General features: G+C 50.3%; 1 protein-coding gene across 24 annotated transcripts in view; it reads left to right on the forward strand.

The window, feature by feature from the left end:
• WDR62 (WD repeat domain 62) overlaps positions 1–23,211 on the forward strand; it is a 56,249-nt gene that overhangs the window by 21,990 nt on the left and 11,048 nt on the right. For 18 of the 24 annotated variants that reach the window (XM_017026665.2, NM_001083961.2, NM_173636.5 and 15 more), the window contains 13 exons: positions 4,547–4,684; positions 6,177–6,355; positions 7,767–7,858; positions 9,801–9,926; positions 12,152–12,219; positions 12,299–12,420; positions 13,559–13,634; positions 14,314–14,425; positions 14,516–14,579; positions 15,803–15,925; positions 17,145–17,278; positions 20,141–20,193; positions 22,513–22,731. In XM_017026665.2, coding sequence (XP_016882154.1) covers positions 4,547–4,684; positions 6,177–6,355; positions 7,767–7,858; positions 9,801–9,926; positions 12,152–12,219; positions 12,299–12,420; positions 13,559–13,634; positions 14,314–14,425; positions 14,516–14,579; positions 15,803–15,925; positions 17,145–17,278; positions 20,141–20,193; positions 22,513–22,731 — 1,506 coding nt within the window. Of the gene's footprint in view, positions 1–4,546; positions 4,685–4,970; positions 5,050–6,176; positions 6,356–7,766; positions 7,859–9,800; positions 9,927–12,151; positions 12,220–12,298; positions 12,421–13,558; positions 13,635–14,313; positions 14,426–14,515; positions 14,580–15,802; positions 15,926–17,144; positions 17,279–20,140; positions 20,194–22,512; positions 22,732–23,211 lie in introns of those variants that run through there. The other 6 variants (XM_011526841.3, XM_011526842.2, XR_001753671.2 and 3 more) reach the window with 6 other exon arrangements.

A 23,211-nucleotide genomic window follows, 5' to 3' on the forward strand; every position in this document is an offset into this window, starting at 1 on the left:
GCCATTATATACTATAGTGTCTCCCTTTTGACCCCTGTTTATTTTGGAATGGGGAATTATATATGTGTGTATATATGTATGTGTGTGTGTGTATATATATATATAAAATGATAAAATATACATGACATCAAGTTCACCATTTCAACTATTTTAAATTGTACCATTTGGTGGCATTTAGTACACTTACAGTGTCATGCAGCCATCATTACTCTCTAGTTTCAGAACATTTTCATCACCCACCCACCCCAAAAAATCCTGTATCTGTTAAGCAGTCCTCCCCATTCCCCACTCCCCCCATCCATGGAAATGACTAATCTGCTTCTGTCTTTATGGATTTGCCTGTTCTGAATCTTTTCTTTTCTCTCCTTCTTTCCTTCCTTCCTTCCTTCCTTTTTTTTTTTTTTTTTTTGAGATGGAGTCTCACTCTGTCGCCCAGGCTGGAGTGATGCAGTGGCACGATCTCGGCTCACTGCAAGCTCCGCCTCCCGGGTTCACGCCATTCTTCTTCCTCAGCGTCCTGAGCAGCTGAGACTACAGGCACACGCCACCACACCCAGCTAATTTTTTGTATTTTTAGTAGAGACGAGGTTTCACCATGTTAGCCAGGATGGTCTCGATCTCCTGACCTCGTGATCCGCCCACCTCAGCCTCCCAAAGTGGTGGGATTACAGGCATGAGCCACCATGCCAGGCTGTTTCCTTTCTTTTCCTCTTTCTTTCTTTTTTTTTTGGATGGAGTCTCGCTTTGTCACCCAGACTGGAATACAGAGGCACAATCTCGGCTCACTGCAACCTCCACCTCCCGAGTTAAGCTATTCCCATGCTTCAGTCTCTAGAGTAGCTGGGATTACAGGCACATGCCACCATGCCTGATGAATTTTTTGTATTTTAGTAGAGACAGGGTTTCACCATGTTGCCCAGGCTGGTTTCAAACTCCTGAGCTCAGGTGATCTGCCCGCCTCAGCCTCCCAAAGTGCTAGGATTACAGGCGTGAGCCACCATGCCTGACCTGAATATTCCTTATAAGTGAAATCATAGACTATGTGGGCTTTTGTGCCTGGCTTTCACTTAGCATAATGTTTTCAAGATTTATCCATGTTGTAGCATGTGTCAGCACTTCATGCCTTTTTATGGTGGAATAATATTTCATTGTACGGATAGAACACATTTTGTTCTCTGTTATCAGTTGACGGCCACTTGGGTTTTTTTCTACCTTATGGCTGTTGCGAATACCACTGCTATGAACATGTAAGTACAAGTTTTTTTGTTTTTTTTTTTTTGAAACGGAGTCTCACTCTGTCGCCCAGGCTGGGGTGCAGTGGTATGATCTCCGCTCACTGCAACCTCAGGCTCCCAGGTTCAAGCGATTCTTCTGCCTCAGACTCCTGAGTAGCTGGGATTACAGGCACGCACCACCATGCCTGGCTAATTTTTGTTTTTTTAGTGGAGACACGGTTTCGCCGTGTTGGCCAGGTTGGTCTCAAACTCCTCGCCTCAAGTGATTTGCCCACCTCGGCCTCCCAAAGTGCAGGGATTACAGGCGTGAGCCACTGTGCCTGACGTAGTTCTTTCTTTCAGTTACATCACTTTGTTTCTGAGTTTTTGTAGGTTGTTTTTCATACCTTGGATCATTTTTTAAATATCTTTTACCTTCTTTTGAAACAGTAGGCCCAGCGTGGTGGCTCACGTCGGTAATCCCAACACTTTGGGAGGCCGAGGCAGGTGGATCACCTGAGGTCAGGAGTTTGAGACCAGCCTGGCCAACATGGCAAAACCCTGTCTCTGCTAAAAATACAAAAAATTAGCTGGCCGTGGTGGCGGGCGCCTGTAATCCCAGCTACTTGGGGGGCTGAGGCAGGAGAATTGCTTGAACCCGGGAGGCAGAGGTTGCAGTGAGCCAAGATCGTGCCATTGCACTCCAGCCTGGGCGACAGGGCGAGACTCTGTCAAAAAAAAAAAAAAAAACAAAGTAAGTTATAGTTTTTATCTTTTTTTGTGAAAATATGTTTCTGCTGTGCTTTTTTTTTTTTTTCTTTTTTAAGAGTAACTATTGGATTTGACCTTGGTCCTTTCCTGTTGTTCATTTTTATGTGATACCAGTTTTTCTGAAATTTTAGAAGTTGGTGTGCTTCAGGACAGATTTTCCAACTACACAAGAAGAACTCTGTCTTTTCTTTTTTTTGTGGGGGTGGGGTGGCATGTTTTGTTTTGTTTTTGAAAAGGAGTCTCACTGTTACCTAGGCTGGAGTGCAGTGGCATGATCACAGCTCACTGAAGCCTCAACCTCATAGGCACAAGCAGTTCTCCTGCCTCAGCCTCCCGAGTAGCTGGGACCACAGGCATGCACTACCATGCCCAGCTAATTTTTTATTTTTGGTAGAGATGGGATCTCATTATACTGCCCAGGCTTGTTTCAAACTTGGGCTCAAGCAGTCCTCCTGCCTCAGCCTCCCAAAGTGCTGGGATTGCAGGCTTCTGTTATTTTTATACTGTGTTAAAATATGGCAGCCTGCTTTCTGATACTTCCTTTTTGTGGTCCTCTTTATCTGTTATGTCTCTTCTTTCGTCTCAATCTCCTCTTTACTTTATTTCTTCTGTCCCTGTTGTGATTGGTCAATTTCATTTCTACTCTTAGCAGTTTCTCTTCAGTGTGGAGCTTTGTCCTGGAAGGACAAAGTTCACAGGATCTTCTCCAGTCCCTTTAGGCCTTACCCCTTGCACTCAACTGCTGTTGGGGTGGATGAAACCCTCCTACTTTCAGCTGCTGTTCAGTTTGGCCCAGTGTGCTTTCCAATGAACACCTCTTGGCTACTTTGGAATTATCCTGTTGCTGGGTCTGTCAGATGCCTTATTACTTCTCTGTCTCCCACATGCATGCTGATGATATGTAGGTCTTGTGATTGGTGGTGGTTTGTCCCACTCACTTGTATTTTGGGGTTTATGGGAGTATTTTGTCACTGAGTTTTGCTATAAATGTTGTCTGTAGGTTTGGGTTTTGCTATCTGGTTGATGTTTTTCTTATGTCGAGATTTTGGGAGATTAAAAAAATTAATGCCGCTACTATCATCTTCCCAGTTCTCAATCTTCCGTATTTTGAAATCTCTTTATATGGTGGCTCTTTGTCCTTCTCAGCTTCATTCTAAATATCTTTAGTTTTGTCTTTCAGTTCACTTAATTTTCTCCTCAGTTATATCTAATCTTTGGTTTTTAATGTTTTTATTTTTTTATTATTTTTTTTTTGAGACGGAGTCTCCCTCTGCCGCCCAGGCTGGAGTGCAGTGGCGTGATCTCGGCTCACTGCAAGCTCCGCCTCCCAGGTTCACGCCATTCTCCTGCCTCAGCCTCCTGAGTAGCTGGGACTACAGGTGCCTGCCACCACGCCCGGCTAATTTTTTGTATTTTTTTTTTTTAGTAGAGACGGGGTTTCACCGTGTTAGTCAAGATGGTCTCGATCTCCTGACCTCGTGATCCTCCCGCCTCGGCCTCCCGAAGTGCTGGGATTACAGGCGGGAGCCACCATGCCCGGCCTATTTTTTATTTTTTTATTTTTATTTTTTTGAGATGGAGTTTCGCTCTTGTTACCCAGACTGGAGTGCAATGGCGCGATCTTGGCTCACTGCAACCTCCGCCTCCCAGGTTCAAGCAATTCTGCTGCCTCAGCCTCCCAGGTTCAAGCAATTCTGCTGCCTCAGCCTCCCGAGTAGCTGGGATTACAGGTGTGCACCACCACGCCCAGCTAATTGTGTATTTTTAGTAGAGACGGGGTTTCTCCATGTTGAGGCTGGTCTCAAACTCCTGACCTCAGGTGATCCGCCCACCTCAGCCTCCCAAAGTGCTGAGATTACAGGCATGAGCCACCGCGCCCGGCCAATATGTTTTTATTATTCATTTCTAGAAGCTGTTCTGTTTTGGTCTTTTTCAGCCCTGCTTGGTTAATCTTTATAATTTCTGGTTGGCTGCACACTTTTAATCTTGTCAAAATTATCTTTTAGTTCTTCAAACATATTGAATGTAGTTATTTTATATTCTGTCTGATAATTCCAATTTGGGTTTTTTTATTTTGTTTTTGGTTTGTCTGTCTGTTTGTTTTGAGACACAGTCTCATATGTTGGCCAGAGTAGACTTGAACTGCTGGTCTCTAGCAGTCCTCCTGCCTCAGCCTCCCAAGTAGCTGGGACTACAGGCATGCGCCACCTCCCCTGATTTAATAATTCCAGTATTTAAAGTCTTGCTAGACTCTGTTGCTTCTGCTGCTTCTTGCTGATGGTACCTCGTTTTCTTTTGTGCTTAGTCATGTTTGATTGAGTTCCACATTTCCCTTGGAAGTTTATTTGAGGGTATGTGTTAAGGCCTAGGCTGAAGGTGGGACATGGATGATATATGGTAGCATTTTGTGTCCTTTTTTTTTCTTGTTTATTTTTAGCATAGAAGGTATTGCACGATACCTGTTTATCTTTAACTTACTTTTTTTTTTTCCATGAAAATGCAACAGTAAGTCATAGTGCTGTCATTGAGTCATCCTTTGCCTTGTCCTCTGGGAACTGTAGGTGTATCCTGAGTTTGAAGACCAGAGAGCTTGTTTGCCATCAGGATCCTTTCTGACTTGTTCTTCAGACAACACCATTCGCTTCTGGAACTTGGACAGCAGCCCTGATTCTCACTGGCAGAAAAACATCTTCAGCAATGTGAGTGGCTTCCTTTGTGAACCATCTTTCAGGAGGAACAAAGACCTACTGTAAGCTTGAATGCAGGGGCAGGAGAGAGTCTGATGGACCCTAGATGTTAGGTTCCATGAGGGCAAGAGCCGGCAACCAAGGCAGGTCCCTCTCTGCATCACTGCCTCTTGTTTCTCTTTCTCCTGCCCCCTCTCTGAGGTGGCACGCTCTATCCTCTCTGATTCTTTGCCAGTTGGCTCCTGCTCTGCAGATGTGTGGACGTGGCCACTCCCGGCAGCCCAACACACCCAGCCCAGGTGAAATTGCTTCCTAAGTCTTGAGATGGAATTCCCTGGGAGAGCACCTGATGAGCCAGCCCATTCAGCTGCCACACAGTGAGGCCTCACGGGGGTATGGGCAGAATGCTGGCGAGAGCCATGATGGGAGGCTGGGAAGAAAAGTTTGCTGAGGAAATTTTGGTTAGTATTGCAAGCCCAGTGAGAGGGCGTCTCTGGGGAGCTGAGACCTGAGTCATGCATTCATTTATTCTGCAGACACTTATTAACGTCCATGCCAGGTGCTTGGCTACATGCTAGGGACACAACAGTGACTAAGACTCTTCTGTCCTGTGGCACACACAATCTAGTGAGGGCCGACAGTGAACTGACAGCCGACCATGTTAATGCACAATCACAAGTGCGAAAAGCACTGTGAAGGAAAATGTGCAGGGTGCTAGTAGGACATAGAGCAGCAGCATGTGAACTTATCTGGGACATCCGGAGCAGCTTCCCGCGGAAGGGACAGCTAAGTTGAGATTGGGAAGAGTAAAGAGGGAAGGGGAGAGGGTCTATACTTAGGGAATAGCCTGTATGAAGGCCCTGGGGTGGGAAACAGCTGGGTGAATTGGAAAACCTGAAAGAGGCCAGTGTGATTGGAACTAAAAAGACCCTCCATGCAGGAGGCTGTAGCAGGTGCCCTGCAGGTGCACCTTTATTACTCCCCTCATTCCCTACCCAGTGCTACCATCGTCTCCTCTGTACCTGTGACATACATGCTGTTTTTGGCTGCACACAATAGAAAAACTCAAAACAAGAGGTAAAAGTTAGGTTTCTGACTCATGAAAGTAGTCTGAAGGTAACCAGTTTAGACCGTTCTGCAGGAAGCCCTTAGGGATCCAAGGGCCTTCCAGCTCTCTACTCTGTCATTTGAGGGAGCAGGCTATGTCCTCATGACCCAGTGTGGCTATGGGGGCTCCTGCTATCATATCTGAGTTCCAGGCTGCAGGATGGAGAAAAGACAGCAGAAGAATACGTGCTTGCTTTATATTTAATAGTTCAGAATTTATTCACATATTCTTATCTAGCTGCAGGGGAGGCAAGGAAATAATTATTCTGATTGGTGAAACTCCCAGCTCAAAATTAGAGTTGTATTACTAACGAAGAAGAGACTGGCTATGGAGGGACACGATTTCAGAGGTGCTTCTGAGCTGCTCGTGCTGACCTCAGCCCTGTCCTTCCTGCAGACCCTGCTGAAGGTCGTGTACGTGGAGAATGACATCCAGCACCTGCAGGACATGTCACACTTCCCAGACCGGGGGAGCGAGAATGGGACACCCATGGACGTGAAAGCCGGGGTGCGGGTCATGCAGGTCAGTCCTGACGGCCAGCATTTGGCTTCAGGCGACCGAAGTGGAAATCTGAGGCAAGTGGGCCCTGGCAGTGTCCAGTGTACACCTCCCAGCTCCAGCTCAGGTTCTCAGGGCAGTGGGCAGAAGCCCTGGCCTTGGCACCTCCTGCTGCCCATTGGGAATGAGGGGCTGTGAATAGTAATCCCATGAACAGCTCCCATTGGGAACTTAAGCTCGTAAGAGGCTTCCAGAAGGGCTGAGAGCAGAGTAACTACCAGGACCTCAGCAGCTAGGGTGTGCAGATTTTGCCTATAGAGTGTACAGGCAAGCTCACATGACTCTAGGGCAGCGTGACACTTTCACCAGCCACATGGTACCAGTGCTGAACTGTCACCGAAGATGCCAGCTGGAGGAGGGTCCTGGTGGCTCTGGGAGAGGGGCTATGAGGGTGGGATAGCTGAGAGTTCAGGCTGCTTATGTGCCCTGTTGAGGTTTGGCAGGATGTTACCAACCCAGTAGGTGCTAGTGGGACATAGGCCCTGTTGCTGGGACCAGGTTTAAGATGACAAATGACAGCTGTGACCACCTGGGTATTGGAGCCACTGGGGAATGGAGGAGAGTTGGGGGAAACTAGAGGGGACATAAAGGGGCAGCAGCCACCAGGCAGCCCCAGGAGAGTAGGCTACAAGTTTTCAAACTTTCCTGTTGTCAAGAAGAGCAGAAAGTGCCGATTTTTTTCTGTGAAATTCGATAATTTTTAAATATTGGCACCTGTTTTGATATCAGTCACTGTATGAGACCAGCTCAGTGTGTCAGTGAGCTGCTTACATTGACATGGCACTGTCTGGAGTGGCAAAACGGTACCAAGAGCCAACATGGGGATAGTGCTCTTCCCCCTTGGTGGGCGCTGGCCTGAGCACTGTGTTGACTGATTTAATCCTCTCACTGACCCCTGATGTAAGTGATGTTATTGGCACAAGGTGTCTGGAGTAAGATCACACGGGTAGAATGAAGAAGCTGGGATGACTCGATGACTGATTTCATTTGGGGAGAATCAGGAAGGTCTAGATTTGAGACTCTTTTAACAATGAGAGACTGGAATCAAATGTTCTCATCCATAGCTCCTATCCTGGACTATGACCTCTGGCCCCTAGCCCCTGGCCCCTGTCCTACCCCAGGGACCACCTCTGATGCAGCCCTACGTAAACACCTGCCCCCCTAGAAGACTGTCCTAGATCCCTGGGGCTCTGTTCTGGCCCAGGCACCACAAGGGGCTGCTGCCTGCTGAGGTGCTCCCTGGTTCAACACGGCTCCCTTTACGATGGCAGGTTTCTAAATGAGAAAAGTGGTTGTGCATGTCTAGAGTATTTGGCCATGATAAGGGGTTCTCATTGTTGGTGGCCTGGCCATTCTGACCTATTCTAGAAGTGGTAGAGCACATGGGGCTGGGGTGTGGGGCTTCAGCGGGCGGTGTGTGTCTCCCAGGATCCACGAGCTGCACTTCATGGACGAGCTGGTCAAGGTGGAGGCCCATGATGCTGAGGTGCTGTGCCTGGAGTACTCCAAGCCAGAGACGGGTGAGCCCGCAGCAGGGGTGGAATGGGGGTCAGGCAGGGAGGCAGCCCCCCTGGCAGGGCCACAGAAAGGGGTAGTTGGTGTCTGGTGGGACTGTGGATGACAGCTGGGAGTTTTGTGTTCGGTAAGGGCCCCTGTAGCTGGACCCTGAGACCAGAGTGGCTGGGACTTCAGAAAGCAAGACACCCGCAGGCAGGACTCAGCTTGACTTGCCCGCTGCTGGTGCCAGCACCCAAGCCAAAGGGGTGGATGTATGAATGAGTGAATTGTGAATGAGAAGATAGATTGATTGTTAGGCATTATTTTCAAAAAGTTTGAAGCCTATAGAAATATTGGGAGAATATTATAATGAACACCCCATAGGCTTCACCCAAATTCCTCAATTTTTTTTTTGAGATGGAGTCTTGCTGTCACCCAGGCTAGAGGGGAGTGGCACCATCTCTGCTGACTGCAGCCTCCACCTCTCTGGTTCAAGTGATTCTCGTGCCTCAGTCTCCCATGTAGCTGGGATTACAGGTGCCTGCTGCCATGCCTGGCCAATTTTTGTATTTTTAGTAGAGATGGGGTTTCACCATGTTGGCCAGGTTGGTCTCAAACTCCTGACCTCAGGTGATCCGCCCGCCTTGGCCTCCCAAAGCGCTGGGATTAGGGCATGAGCCACCACACCTGACCTTTTTTTTTTTTTTTTTTTTTTTGAGACAAGAGTCTCACTCTGTCGCCCTGGCCGGAGGGCAATGACGCGATCTCAGTTCACTGCAACTTCCGCCTCCCAGGTTGAAGCGATTCCCCTGCGTTCAAGCGATTCTCCTGCCTCAGCCTCTCGAGAGTAGCTGGGATTACAGGCACGCCCCCACCACACCCGGCTAATTTTTGTATTTTTAGTACAGACGGGGTTTCACCATGTTAGCCTAGGCTGAAGGCTAGGACCATAGTAGGGTCTCCAGACCTCATGGTCCTCTTCATTAAAACAACAGAAAATTCCTTCTGGGCCATCAGATGAGATCATGAGATAGGAGAAGATTTCCAAGTGAAGATTTCGTTTGTTTCAAGACAGAGTCTTGCTCTGTCACCCAGATGATATATGGATGATATATGGTAGCATTTTGTGTCCTTTTTCTTGTTTATTTTTAGCATAGAAGGTATTGCACGATGCTGGTCTCAAACTCCTGACGTCAGGTGATCCACCCGCCTTGGCCTCCCAAAATGCTGGGATTACAAGCGTGAACCACCATGCCCGGCTCCTCAAGATGTTTTCTAGGCTGGGCACGGTGGCTCATGCCTGTAATCCCAGCACTTTGGGAGTTACAGAGTTGGTGGAGTTATATCCTGATGTGATTTTCCCCATGTTCTTCTTTCGTTCTCTCATCCCCCATGCTGTGTGCCCCACCAACTTGTCTTGAAACATATCTTCACTCGGTTCGCCTCTCCTGATCTCCCCTCTGCCTCAGGTCATGTTATTAGGCCTCAGACATAGCAAGTGACCAGAGTAGGGAAGGCTGGTGGCAGATGGGAGTCTGGCCACAGGCAGTCAATAGGACCTGAACAAGGCCCAGGTAGCCAGACCTCAGAGGGTGAGAGGACACTGGTTTTGGAAGAGGCTGAGAGGTTGCCAGGGCTTTACCCAGCACAGACCCAGCAGGCAAGAGCGCTGGGCTCTGCTGGGGCGTCTGCTGTGGATGTCCCTGGAGGAGCGTCCATGCGCCCATCGAGACTCATCCTCCCTGAGCTGGTGGTGAGGAGGTGAAATGCCAGGGTGTGGGGGCTCTGGGAAAGACCACACAGAGCTAAGGGAGTGGCCCTTGCCAGGCTTGGGCCAAGTTGGCTACAGTTGAAGAACCAAAGACCCCTTCTCCGAGGACTGGGCAGCTTGGTCACACTGCCCTTCTGGGAGGCCAGGGCACCCACGCAGCCTTCAGGAACCAGTCTCATTCTCTCCTCTCACAGGGCTGACCTTGCTGGCCTCAGCCAGTCGGGACCGGCTGATCCATGTGCTGAACGTGGAGAAGAACTACAACCTGGAGCAGACGCTGGATGACCACTCCTCCTCCATCACCGCCATCAAGTTCGCTGGTGAGCCCCTTTCTTCCCGCTCCCTGCGCCTTGCTAGCTACCCTGCTAAAAAAGGATTCATTCTTTCAACTCTCCTGTAAAATATATATCCAAACAAGTGAATACAGTATCTGTGTACAGTATACAGAATAATGACTGGGGCCGGGTGTAATGGCTCACACCTGTAATCCCAACACTTTGGGAGGCCAAGGAGGGTGGATCACCTGAGGTCAGGAGTTCGGGACCTTCCTAGACAACATGGTGAAACCCCGTCTCTACTAAAAATACAAAAATTTGCTGGGCGGGGTGTTGTTTCTGTAATCCCAGCTACTCAGGAGGCCGAGGTGGGAGAATTGCTTGAACCTGGGAGGTGGAGGCTGCACTCCAGCCTAGGCAACAGAGTGAGACCCTGTCTCAAAAAAAAAAGAATAATGGCCAGGTACCATGGCTCACACCTGTAATCTCAGCACTTTGGGAGGCCAAGGCAGGTAGATCATGAGGTCAGGAGTTCGAGACCAGTCTGGCCAACATAGTGAAACCCCATCTCTACTAAAAATACAAAAAAATTAGCCAGGCATGGTGGTGTGCACCTGTAATCCCAGCTACTCGGGAGGCTGAGGCAGGAGAATTGTGTGAACCCGGGAGGCGGAGGTTGCAGTGAGCCAAGATTGCGCCAGTGACTCCACTCCAGCTTGGGTGACAATGCGAGACTTTGTCTCAAAAAAAAAAAAAAGAAGAATATAGGCCGGGCGTGGTGGCTCATGCTTGTCATCCCAGCACTTTGGGAGGCTGAGGCAGGCAGATCACCTGAAGCTAGGAGTTTAAGACCAGCCTGGCCAACATAGTGAAACCCCGTCTCTACTAAAAATTCAAAAAAAGTAACCGGGCATGGTGGTGCACACCTGTAATCCCAGCTACTTGGGAGGCTGAGGCAGGAGAATAGCTTGAATCCAGGAGGCCAAGGTTGCAGTGAGCCAAAATTGTTTCACTGCACTCCAGTCTGGGTAACAAGAGCAAAACTCCATCTCAAAAAAAATAAAAATAAAAAATAAGCTGGGCGTGGTGGCCGAAGTGAGTATCCACAGTTCTTAGGAGCAAGGTTTGAACTAGGACGTTGTTGATAGCAGAGACTGTTCTAATTGCTCATGGTCGTAATATTGTTAAATACGGTACTTGGATTCACCACGTGCAGGTTAAGAAGCAGAACATTACCAGAGGCTTGCAGGCCTTCTCTGGGTCCCTCCCAGGTTACCCTTCCTCCCTTATATGGGGCTCACTCCCTTCTGTGAGCCAATGACTCCTCCTTGAGCAACATCTAATACTTGTATGTCAGGCCTGGACCCTCTCAAATGTCCTGTCATGAAGGAGCATGTGTGATGTGCCCAGACTCAGAGTTTTATATTTGTTCTGTCATTTCATCCTCACCAAACTGTTATTCTGTAAAGAAATGAGACGGCCGGGGGCATCTCACGCCATTGCACTCCAGCCTGGGCAACAAGAGCGAAACTCTGTCTCAAAAAAAAAGAAATGAGAATAATAAAAGCAAGAATGTTTCTAATGCTTACCATGTGGCAGTCCCTGTTCCAAGGGCTTCACATCACTCTCCAGAGAAGGAACTGTCACCATGCCCATTGTACGGACCGGAAGTTGAGGCTCAAAGGGGAGGCCCAGGTTCAGAGCAGTGTTTAACAGCTTTGACCTTGGCACCAGAGAATGCCTGGGTTCAGTCCTGCCCCTGTCCTCTCTGTGTGCCTTGGGACAAGGACTCTGTGAACCTCTGTGTTCATGCTTGTCCAGTGGGATGGGTGGTGAGCATTCAGGAAGACCCGCTACATGCATGGGGCCTGGCCCAAGGCTCATGTGGATCTTGCAGTTGATCCTGATGGCACGAGCCTCCCAGCCTGTCTCCACTGGTCGCTGCTGCAGTCCTGCCTCTACTCCGCTACTCAAGTCACCTATCTCAATCCCAGACTGGAGAGGGTGTCCCTTCTTTGTCCCCAGCCTTTGTTTCTCTATATGCCCTTGCTCTGCAGAGCCTGCCTTGGCCACAGCTCCACCTGTGCCCCCTCACACGTACAGCTCATACCTTACAGAGTCCCACCCAGACCCAGCACCCACCTCACCACCTTTAGGAAGCCTTGATCCCAGCACAGTTGATTGATGGCTCTTGCAGTGGAGTTCCCCAGCTAGGGTCCCCTGCCCATGTGGCCCAGCCCTGCCTAACACACAGCGTCCTCCTCCCCTAGGCAACAGAGACATCCAGATGATCAGCTGTGGGGCTGACAAGAGCATCTACTTTCGCAGTGCCCAGCAGGTAGGGTGGCATGGCCTCCTTGGGGGCTGGGGTGGGGGGTTGTCGGGGCATTCTCTGAAGGTCCTGCCGGCCCTGCCAGGGTTCGGATGGACTACACTTTGTCCGTACCCACCACGTAGCAGAGAAAACCACCTTGTATGACATGGACATTGACATCACCCAGAAGTACGTGGCCGTGGCCTGCCAGGACCGCAATGTGAGGTAAGGGGTGGCCCTGGACCCTTAGCTGGCCTGGTCTGCCTTGTCCTAGGCTGTCTGCTTTCCTCCCTCTGTTCCTCTGGTCCCCAAGAAGCTGGGAAGGAATTGAGGGACCCAGCAGGTGTTCCTTCTTGGTTTTTTTTTGTTTTTGTTTTTGAGGCAGAGTCTTGCTCTGTTGCCCATGCTAGAGTGCAGTGGCACCATTTTAGCTCACTGCAACCTCCACCTCCTGGGTTCAAGTGATTCTCCTGCCTCAGCCTCCCAAGTAGCTGGAATTACAGGCGCCTGCCACCATGCCTAGCTAATTTTTTGTATTTTTAGTAGAGACGAGGTTTCGCCATGTTGGCCAGGCTGGTCTCGAACTCCTGACCTCAGGTGATATTGCCCACCTCAGCCTCCCAAAGTGCTGGGATTACAGGCGTGAGCCACCGTGCCCGGCCACCAGCAGGTATTTCTTAGAAGCTGGGCTCTCCCAAGCCTGGCCTCCAGGTCAGCAGAGGGCTTTCTTCTGGCTCTCCCTAGAGCCGGTGTGGGATGACTAAGGTGCTGATGTGGCACATAAACTCCCTCATTCACCCGTATTCCCTGAGCACCTAACTGGGCTGGATGGTGCTGGGATCATGGCAGTGGCCAGGATAGCCCCAGGCCCTCCTTCATGGAGCTCACAGTCCAGTAGAATGGACACGGCCACCTCACAGCCACAGACAGTGACAGAGTGGTCAGAGATGGGGGAGCCCAGGGGCCCTGTGGAGACACCTGACCCCACCTGCGGATCAAGCAGGACTTCCTGGAGGAAGAGACACCTTAGCCTGGGGAGGATGTGGAGGAGCGAGCCAGGGGGAGGCAGAGAGTGAGTGTGCAGAGGGCAAAGCAGTGCAAAGAGGCTCTGCACCCCTTCCCAGTTCTTTCTCATGCGGTGCCAAGCACTGAGCTTGCAGTGTGTGGGGGAGATGAACATTAACTCAGTGGATACCCCAGGACAACCTCAGCTTGAGATGGGGTTTCAGTTTCAGTCTAGGCATCAGATGGGGACAAGAGGTAGCAGGGGGCTTCCAGGGGAGGGGAGGACAGCAAGAGCCAGAGAATGAGGTGGTGGGGTAGGCGGGGCCCTGTTGGCCGCAACATGCCCCTACTTCCCCAGAGTCTACAACACTGTGAACGGGAAGCAGAAGAAGTGCTACAAGGGCTCCCAGGGTGACGAAGGGTCCTTGCTGAAGGTGAGGAGTTGGAGACCCCTGTCTGTCTGCTGCCCTGATGGGCCACCTATTGTGACGGCCCACACCTGAGACCTGTGCCCTTGGTCCTTCCTCAGTGCACCGCGCTGCCCAGCACCTTCTCAGGCCTGGTTAAACAAGGATGCTTGCGAGAGGGTGGGGAGGGTGACCCCAGCTGTGTTTCCTTTATTTACAGAGCCCTTCCCCAAGTGGGGCGTCTAAGTGGGTTCCATTTTGAGTGGCAGCAGGGTATGGTGGGAAGAATCAGAGGCATGAACTCCCCTCCTGGTTTGCCCACACCAGCCACGGGTCACTCAGGACAAGGGGGGACCTTCTCAGAGCCTCTGGTCTAGGACAGTTATGGGTTCAGGTTCTGCCTCAGGCTGACTGTGTGACCTTGGGCAAGCATCATCTCTTGAAATGCACACAGACAGCTTGTCTCATAGACTTGTTCTCTGGAGGAGTTCAGTTTGCACATGTTCAGTGCTTAGCACAGGGCCTGGCTACTGTTGTTACTGCTGCGGTGGTTGTTAATTTCTTCACGTGTCGAATGGGAGCGGGAGCTCCTGCCCTGCCAGAGTCCCATGTGCTGTGCATGCAGCACGGGGGAGGGAGGGGCCCAGGCCTCATCATAAGGAAGAAGCAGGCAGCTGGAGTGACATGTGGGTCCCTTTCCTGGCAGGTCCATGTGGACCCCTCAGGCACCTTCCTGGCCACCAGCTGCTCTGACAAAAGCATCTCAGTGATTGACTTTTACTCGGGCGAGTGCATTGCCAAGATGTTTGGCCATTCAGGTGGGTGTGCCTCTCTGCTTGGGATGCCTCCCCACCCGCCCACACCCTCTGACTCCGAAGGCAAGTGCAGCCTCTCTGCTTTGTTTGCAGAAATTATTACCAGCATGAAGTTCACCTATGACTGTCATCACTTGATCACAGTATCTGGAGACAGGTGGGACATGGACCTTTGGGAGAGTTGTGGCTCAGATACCATGAGCACTGCACTCAGCCTGCCTGTGTAGAGAGCATTTCTAAACTGCCCAGTTTGGATTGTGGGAGTCTTGGTGTCACACCCAGCCCTGAGTTCAAATACCAGCTCTAAGCTGGGCATGATGGCTCACGCCTGTAACCCCAGCACTTTGGGACGCTGAGGCGGGTGGATCACTTGAGCTCAGGAGTTCGAGACCAGCCTGGGCAACATAGCAAAACCCTATCTCTACAAAAAATTAGCCGGGTGTGGTCATGTACACCTCTAGTCCCAGCTACTCAGGAGGGGGAAGATGGCTTGAACCTGGTAGGTAGAGGTTGCAGGGAGCACAGATCATGCCAGTGCATTCCAGCCTTGGTGACAGAGCAAGACCCCGTCTCAAAAAAAAAACAAAACACTAAAAAAACATATCCCAGCTCTGCCATTTATTTTCTTGTCACCTTGAGCAGGTTATTTCCCCTGAGCCTCAGTTTGCTCCCCTGTAAAAGACACCACCGTTTACATTTACCTTAAAAATGGTGTGATGAGGCCGGGCGCAGTGGCTCACGCCTGTGATCCCAGCACTTTGGGAGGCCTAGGTGGATGGATCATCTGAGGTCAGGAGTTCAAGACCAGCCTGGTCAACATGGAGAAACTGTGTCTCTACTAAAAATACAAAAATTAGCTGTGCGTGGTGGCAGGCGCCTGTAGTCCCAGCTACTTGGGAGGCTGAGGCATGAGAATGACCTGAACCTGGGAGGTAGAAGTTGCAGTGAGCTGAGATCGCGTCACTGCACCCTAGCCTGGGTGACAGAGCAAGACTCTCTCAAAAAAAAAAAAAAAAGAAAATTGTATGGTGAGAAATGAATGAGATGATATACATACATTCTTTAGCACATGGGTGGTACTCAAGGAAGTCCCTTTTGTCACTCCCTTTGATTTACCCCAGTTCTTCCCCACAGCCCCCTTCCTCAGGTCTTGAGGCCTCCAGAACAGGCCCTGGTTTGCTGGGATGCCCCAGACCTGGGCCCAGGGTGTGGATGTGGCAAGTCCAGCACCCCTGCACTAAGCGGATAGGGGTGTGTTTTCCAGGAGCATCTGGAGAATGGGGTCCAGGCTGTGGTGTGGGTGGCTTCAGGGTCAGCCACGGCAGCGGCTCCCATGCTTACTCTTCCTCTGCCTTGTGTGTCTCTCTTTGACCTCCGCAGCTGCGTGTTCATCTGGCACCTGGGCCCGGAGATCACCAACTGCATGAAGCAGCACTTGCTGGAGATTGACCACCGGCAGCAGCAGCAGCACACAAATGACAAGAAGCGGAGTGGCCACCCCAGGTCCTGGCAGCCCCTGCCTGTCCACCAGAGGGATGAGTCCCTGCCAGGGCCCCATGGAGTGATGCTGGGGACACAGTGGTGGCCAAGACAGCCCTAGGCCCTGCCCTTAGCACACTCACAGCTGAGTAGGGGAGACAGACTTTGAATATGCAGTTACAGTAATAGATACAAAAAGGTTTTGTGGATTTTTTTAATTTTCGTAAATAATAGAGACAGAGTCTTGCTGTGTTGCCCAGGCTTGTCTTGAACTCCTGGGCCCAAGTGATCCTCCCACCTTGGCCTCACAAAGTGCTGGGATCACAGGTGTGAGCCACTGCACCCGGCTATGAGAAGGGTATTAAAGTGGAAAAGCAAAGTGTTTGGCGAGCCTCTCAGCACTGTGATGGGGGATGCCCCAAGCGGCTGTGGGAACAGAGCAGTCCCTGACCGGCCAGCCAAGGGGAGGGGTGGGTAGACAGGGGATCTGAGGGGAGGGCTGCAGTGGGGCCACGTGTCCTCTTACTCCCACGTGAAAGCTGTAGCTTCACTTACTTCTTTGAATCTTCTAAATATATTTCTTTCAAGTCTTTATGTAGCAAAGCCAATTTTATTTGCAGAGAACTCATGTTCTGGTTTTTGATTTGAGGTTTTGGTTTGGGTATTGCTCATTTTGAGTGGGAGGTTTTTTGGTTTTCTTCTCTTCTGCTGCTGGGTGTGTCTGTTTTTGCCATTGGCTCCATGTGGCTCCCAGGGCAATGTGGAGACCAGGCCTTGACATGGGCCACTGGTCCTGAGGTCCTGAGGTGGTGTTAGAGATATCTTGCTTTTGAGGCTCCCACTCCACCCCCAAGCTATGAACCAGGGCCCTGGCTTCAGTGCCTGCCTCATGCCAAGGGTGTTTTAGTTTCCCGTACTCGGGAAGAGCCACCATCATTGCTACCACCTACAGGAAGCCCAGCACAGGACTGCAGCCCCGCTGTCTGCTTGGCTTTCTGTCCCATTGCTGTGGCCCTGAGAGTTTGCATTCGTTTGTAGCCTGGCCTTTGTTAATCTCATCTATTGTGGTGATGTGTTTCTAGTGGGGAGACGGCATCAAGTGAGAGACTTGCCAGCACCATCTTGACCAGCAGCCAAGAATATGTTCACATGGAGCTTAGCACAGGGCCCAGCCCTAGGCAAGTCCCCACCACCAGCCCATTTGCCTGTATTCTCTCCTTACCATCCTCATTCCTGGCTTTAGGCAGGATACGTATGTGTCCACACCTAGTGAGATTCACTCCCTGAGCCCTGGAGAGCAAACAGAGGATGATCTGGAGGAAGAGTGTGAGCCAGAAGAGATGCTGAAGACACCATCCAAAGATAGCTTGGATCCAGGTTGGAAAAGGGGCCCTATTTTGAACTATGTCAGTGTAGGGAATCATTGCTGGGTTTTGCCCATGACCTTGTTTACAGGGCCTGGCACATATTAAAACTCAGGAGTCGACAGGGTGCGGTGGCTGATACCTGTAATCCCAGCACTTTGGGAGGCCGAGGTGGGTGGATCACCTGAGGTCAGGAGTTGGAGACCAGCCTGACCAATATGGTGAAACCCCGTCTCAACTAAAAATACAAAAATTAGCCGGGCGTGGTGGCGTGCAACTATAGTCCTAGCTACTAGGGAGGCTGAGACAGGAAAATTGCTTGAACCTGGGAGGCAGAGGTTGCAGTGAGCTGAGATCGCGCCACTGCACTCCAGCCTGGGCAACAGAGCAAGACTCCGTCTCAAAAATAATAATAATAATAATAATATAAATAAAATAAATAAAATTCAGTAATCAGGCTTAGCGTGGTGGCTCACACCTGGAATTTTAGCACTTTGGGAGGCTGAAATGGGAGGGTCACTTGAGGCCAGGAGGTCGAGACCAGCCTGGGCAACATAGCGAGAGCCCATCTATGCAAAAAAAAAATTTTTTAAAGAAATTAGCCAGGCATAGTGGCACACATCTGTAGTCCCAACTACATGGGAGGCTGAGGCAGGAGGATCACTTGAGGCCAGGAGTTTGAGACCAGCCTGGCACGTACCAAGACCCCGTTCCTACAAAAAGAAAAAAATTAGCCAGGCCTGGTGGTGCACACCTATAGTCCCAGCTACCTGAAAGGCTGAGGCAGGAAGATCGCTTGAGCCCAGGAATTCCATGTTATAATGAGCTATGATTGCACCACTGCACTCCAGCCTGAATAATAGAGTGAGATCCTGTCTGTAGAAAAAGAAAGAAACTCAATAATCATATCAGTCAAGACTCTTTCAGTATAAAAGCAACCAGGCTTAAGTCAGGAAGAGGATTTTTTGGTGCCTGAAAATTGGAGAGGATTAGCTTTCAGCATGGCTAGATCCAGATAGACAGATGATGTTAAAAGGAAGATTTTTTTTTGTATCTTTTGGCTCTGCTTTTCTTCATGTTGGCTTTGCTGATGGACAGACTGTCCCTTTACTAGGGGAAAAGATACCCCCAGCAACTACAGGCTTATAAAACTCCATAGAGAATAGAACACCTCTTTCCTATAGTAGCTCAAGCAGAGTCTTAGGGTTGTGTGGCTCATGTTTCTGGTATCTGCTGTACCCACTTCTGAGCCAGTTGTTGTAGCTGTCCACATCTCAGCATGTGATCACTTCTGAGGGCAGAGACTGTAGTCAGCTCCATCCACTCACACCACCTGACCAGGCATCAAAGATGTGTTTGAGGCCGGGTGTGGTAGCTCACGCCTGTAATCCCAGCACTCAGGGAGGCCGAGGCGGGTGGATCACCTGAGGTCAGGAGTTCGAGACCAGCCTGGCCAACATGGTGAAACCCCATGTCTGCTAAAAATACAAAAATTAGCTGGGCGTGATGGCGTGCGCCTGTAATAGCAGCTACTTGGGAAGCTGAGACAGGAGAATTGCTTGAACCTGGGAGACGGAGGTTGCAGTGAGCTGAGACTGCGCCACTGCACTCCAGCCTGGGTGACAAAGCAAGACTCCGTCTCAAAAAATAAATGAACAAGTAAAAATAAATTGAATTATGTTGCGGATATTGTCCGGAATCTTTTTCCTCTGCAAAGTCTCTCATCTACCTGTATGTTGGTGAATACAAAGCAGACGCCTGCGAAATTTTAAGTTATTCCCCTCCAGGTGGCCATTTAGGTTTTTCCTGATTGCACATCACTGTTAATGAGGCTATGGAGTGGAGACCACTCCTAAGCCTCCTCGAAATGTGAGGACTTCTCCAGGAGAGAGTCTGAGGAGTAGCACCACTGGATCCTGGAGTTATTTTATTTTACTTTAAAAAAGTTGTTTTATTATTTTATTTCACTATTTTTGTTGCCCAGGCTGGAGTTCAATAGCACAATCATAGCTCACTGTAGCCTTGACCTCCTGGGCTCAAGCAATTTTCCCTCCTTAGCCTGTGGAGTAGCTGGGACCACAGGCTCAAGCTCCCACACCCAGCTAAATATGTGTGTATCAGGGGATGGTGTGTGTAGAGACAAGGTCTCACTGTGTTGCCCAGGCTGGTCTCAAACCCCTGGCCTGAAGTATCCTCCCACCTCGACCTCTCAAAGTGGTGGGATTACAGGCTTGAGCCAGTATGCCTGGCCTTTATTTTAAAAGAGAACCCCGGCTGGGCGCAGTGGCTCACACCTGTAATCCCAGCACTTTGGGAGGCCGAGGCGAGCGGATCACGAGTTCAGGAGATCGAGACCATCCTGGCTAACATGGTGAAACCCCGTCTCTACTAAAAATACAAAAAAAAAAAATTAGCCGGGCATGGTGGCGGGCACCTGTAGTCCCAGCTACTTGGGAGGCTGAGGCAGGAGAATGGCATGAACCCGGGAGGTGGAGGTTGCAGTGAGCCGAGATCGCGCCACTGCACTCCAGCCTGGGCAACAGAGCGAGACTCCGTCTCAAAAAAAGAAAAAAAAAGAGAACCCCAAGAGTTCTCCAAACCCAGTTACTGCCCCACCCTGCATTGCATTAGGCTCTCCATTGTCCCCACACTTTTCCTGCCATCCTTTGGTAGTATTAAGCTTTTTCACCTCGGTCAGTCTCGTGAGTCAAATATCGCATCCCACGGTTTAAGTTTGCATTTCCCTAACCCCCGGTGCTGTTGAGCCTTCTGACTTCTGGGTTGTGGTGTTGCCTCTTTGGGGACTGCCCGGTTATGTATGTGGCCTGTTTGTTGGGTTGTTTGTCCTCTTTTCATGGATTCTGTGTCTTTCCAGATCCTCGTTGCCTGCTAACCAACGGCAAGCTGCCACTGTGGGCAAAGCGGCTGGTAAGTCTTCAGGGAGAGGGTTGCTCAGGGGCTGGCAGAGGAAACGCCTCCCCAGCTCTGCCTTCTGGAAGCCCTTTTTCCTTTCCATGTCCCTCTTTTCCCTGGAGAAGCCCTGTCATCCTTCCAGGCTCAGTGAGACAGCCCTTTGTTCATGATCAGTGCTCTCTGCCAGGCATTGTTCTGGATGTCAGGGACACAACAGTGAGCAAGGGAAACAAAAGTCTCTCCCTTCACAGGCTCACTTGCCTGTGTGGGCGAGGAACAATATCCCCATTAAATAAGTAAATGACGTAGTAGGTTGGGTGCTGATAAGTGCTGTGGAGGGAAAAGAATCAAGAAGGAAAATACGTCAGCCAGGTGCAGTGATACGTGTCTGTGGTCCCAGCTACTCAGGAGGCTGAAGTGGGAGGATCACTTGAGCCCAGGAGGTTGAGGCTGTAGGGAACTGAGAAGGCACCACTACTACACTCCAGCGTGGGCAACAGAGTGAGATCCTGTCTCAAAAAAGAGAAAAAGAACAGGGGCCCAGCACGGTGGTTCATGCCTGTGATCCCAGCACTTTGGGAGGCCAAGGCAGGTTGATCACTTGAGCCCAGGAGTTCAAGACCAGCCTGAGCAATATAGTGAGACCCCATCTCTACAAAAAATAAAAAAATTAGCCAGGCATGGTGGTGCATACCTGTAGTCCCAGGTACTCAGGAGGCTGAAGTGGGAGGATTGTTTGGGCCAGGGAGGTCGAGGATGCAGGGAGCTGCACTCCACAGCACTCCAGCATGAGCAACAGAGCCAACACTTTGTCTCATAAAAAAAATAAAAATAAAAAAGAAAATAAGGAGTGTTGGGGGGTGTCAGTTTTAAGTAAACAGGAAAGGCCTCATTGGGAAAATGATGTTTGAGCAGAGTTGAAGCAAGTGAGACAGGCAGATACTGGGACGAATGTTCTAGTCATAACAGCCTATACGTGTAAAAGCCACGAGGCCAGGAGCTCGAGACCAGCTTAGGCAACATAATGAGACTCCCATCTCTACAAAAGATTAAAAATAGCCAGGCATGGTGGTGCACACCCATAGTCCCAGCTACTCAGGAGCCTGAGGCAGGAGGATCACTTCAGCCCAGGAGTTGGAGGCTGCAGTGATCGTGCTACTGCACTCCAGCTTGGATGGCAGAACGAGACCTTGTCTCTTAAAAAAAAAAAAAGAAAAAGAGACCGGGTGCGGTGGCTCACGCCTGTAATCCCAGCACTTTGGGAGGCCAAGGCGGGTGTAATCCAAGGTCAAGAGATCAAGATCATCCCGGTCAACATGGTAAAACCCCGTCTCTACTAAAAATACAAAAATTAGCTGGGCATGGTGGTGCATGCCTATAGTCCCAACTACTGGTAAGGCTGAGGCAGGAGAATCACTTGAACCCAGGAGGCAGAGGTTACAGTGAACCGAAATCATGCCACTGCACTCCAGCCTGGCGACAGAGTGAGACTCCCTCTCAAAAAAAAAAAAAAAGAAAGACAATGTGGATTATAAGAGACAGAATAAGAGAGGTGAATGAAGGATGATCCCAAGGTTGGGGCATGAGTAACTGGAAAAAACAACTGAAACAGGGAATCTTTAGGAGGAGCAGGTTTGTGCAGAGGAAATGAGTTGAGTTGTCAGCATGTTAACTTTGAAATACCTACCAGACATCCATACAGAAATGTAGAGCAGTCACATGTGCAATTCTGAAGTTTCAGAGAAAAGTTCATGAATCCCAGCTGGGCATTCCCAGCACTTTGGGAGGCCGAAACAGGATTCCTTGAGCCCAAGGGTTTGAGACCAGCCTGAGCAACATAGTGAGAGTCCACCTCTACCAAAAACCAACAAAATGGGCTGGGCGCAGTGGCTCATGCCTGTAATCCCAGTACTTTGGGAAGCCGAGGCGGGCGGATCACTTGAGGTCAGCAGTTTGAGACCAGCCTGGCCAACATGGCAAAACCCCATCTCTACTAAAAATACAAAAATTAGCCAGGTGTGGTGGTGGGCACCTGTAATCCCAGCTACTCTGGAGGCTGAGACAGGAGAATTGCTTGAAACTGAGAGGTGGAGGTTGCAGTGAGCCAAGGTCACGCCACTGCACTCCAGCCTGGGAGACAGAGCAAGACTTCGTCTCAAAAAAAAAAAAAAAAAAAAAAACAGAGAAAGGTTCACGCTGGAGATATGTACCTGGAAGTTGTTTCTGAATGGTATTGAAAGCCAAGAGTCCAGATGGGCTGTGTGAAATGTCCGTGTCGCTCCCTGCAGTGAGTGAGCACTCAGCCAGTTGCCTGACTGTCCGATATCCTTCAAGCTAGGGGACGATGATGTGGCAGATGGCTTGGCCTTCCACGCCAAGCGCAGCTACCAGCCCCACGGCCGCTGGGCAGAGCGGGCCGGCCAAGAGCCCCTCAAGACCATCCTGGATGCCCAGGACCTGGATTGCTACTTTACCCCCATGAAGCCCGAGAGTCTGGAGAACTCCATTCTGGATTCACTGGAGCCACAGAGCCTGGCCAGCCTGCTGAGTGAGGTACACACTTCCACCGCAGCCTGGCCCATAGCCCCGGCACCGTGACGGCCCCAGGGCCTGGCGCCTTAGGCTGACTCCCACTCCATGGGGGCAGGGAGGATTACATGAGATGGTGAAGGGCAGGAGGGTGAGCCCCAGGTCTGTTGCACAGCAAGACTTCCCAAGGCAGACAGGGAGTCTTTGGAAAGTGGGTCACTTGGGGGTTAAGAGCTTGGATGCTAGAGCAGGCTTGTACCCAAGTGGGGGACATTTGGGTAGATCGAGCCCTGACCCTACCCATTCCTGTTGTGTGACCTGGAGTAAGAGGCTTACCTCTTTGGGCTTCAGTCTTCTAAAAAGTAGTCATAATGGGGTCAGGGGCAGTGGCTAACACCTGTAATCCCAGCATTTGGGGAGGCCAAGGCAGGAGGATTACTTAACGATCACTTGAGGAGTTCAAGGCCAGCCTAGGCAACGTAGCAAGATCCCACCTCTACAAAA

Source organism: Homo sapiens, chromosome 19 (assembly GCF_000001405.40).
Source record: "Homo sapiens chromosome 19, GRCh38.p14 Primary Assembly".
NCBI classification, from domain to species: domain Eukaryota; kingdom Metazoa; phylum Chordata; class Mammalia; order Primates; family Hominidae; genus Homo; species Homo sapiens.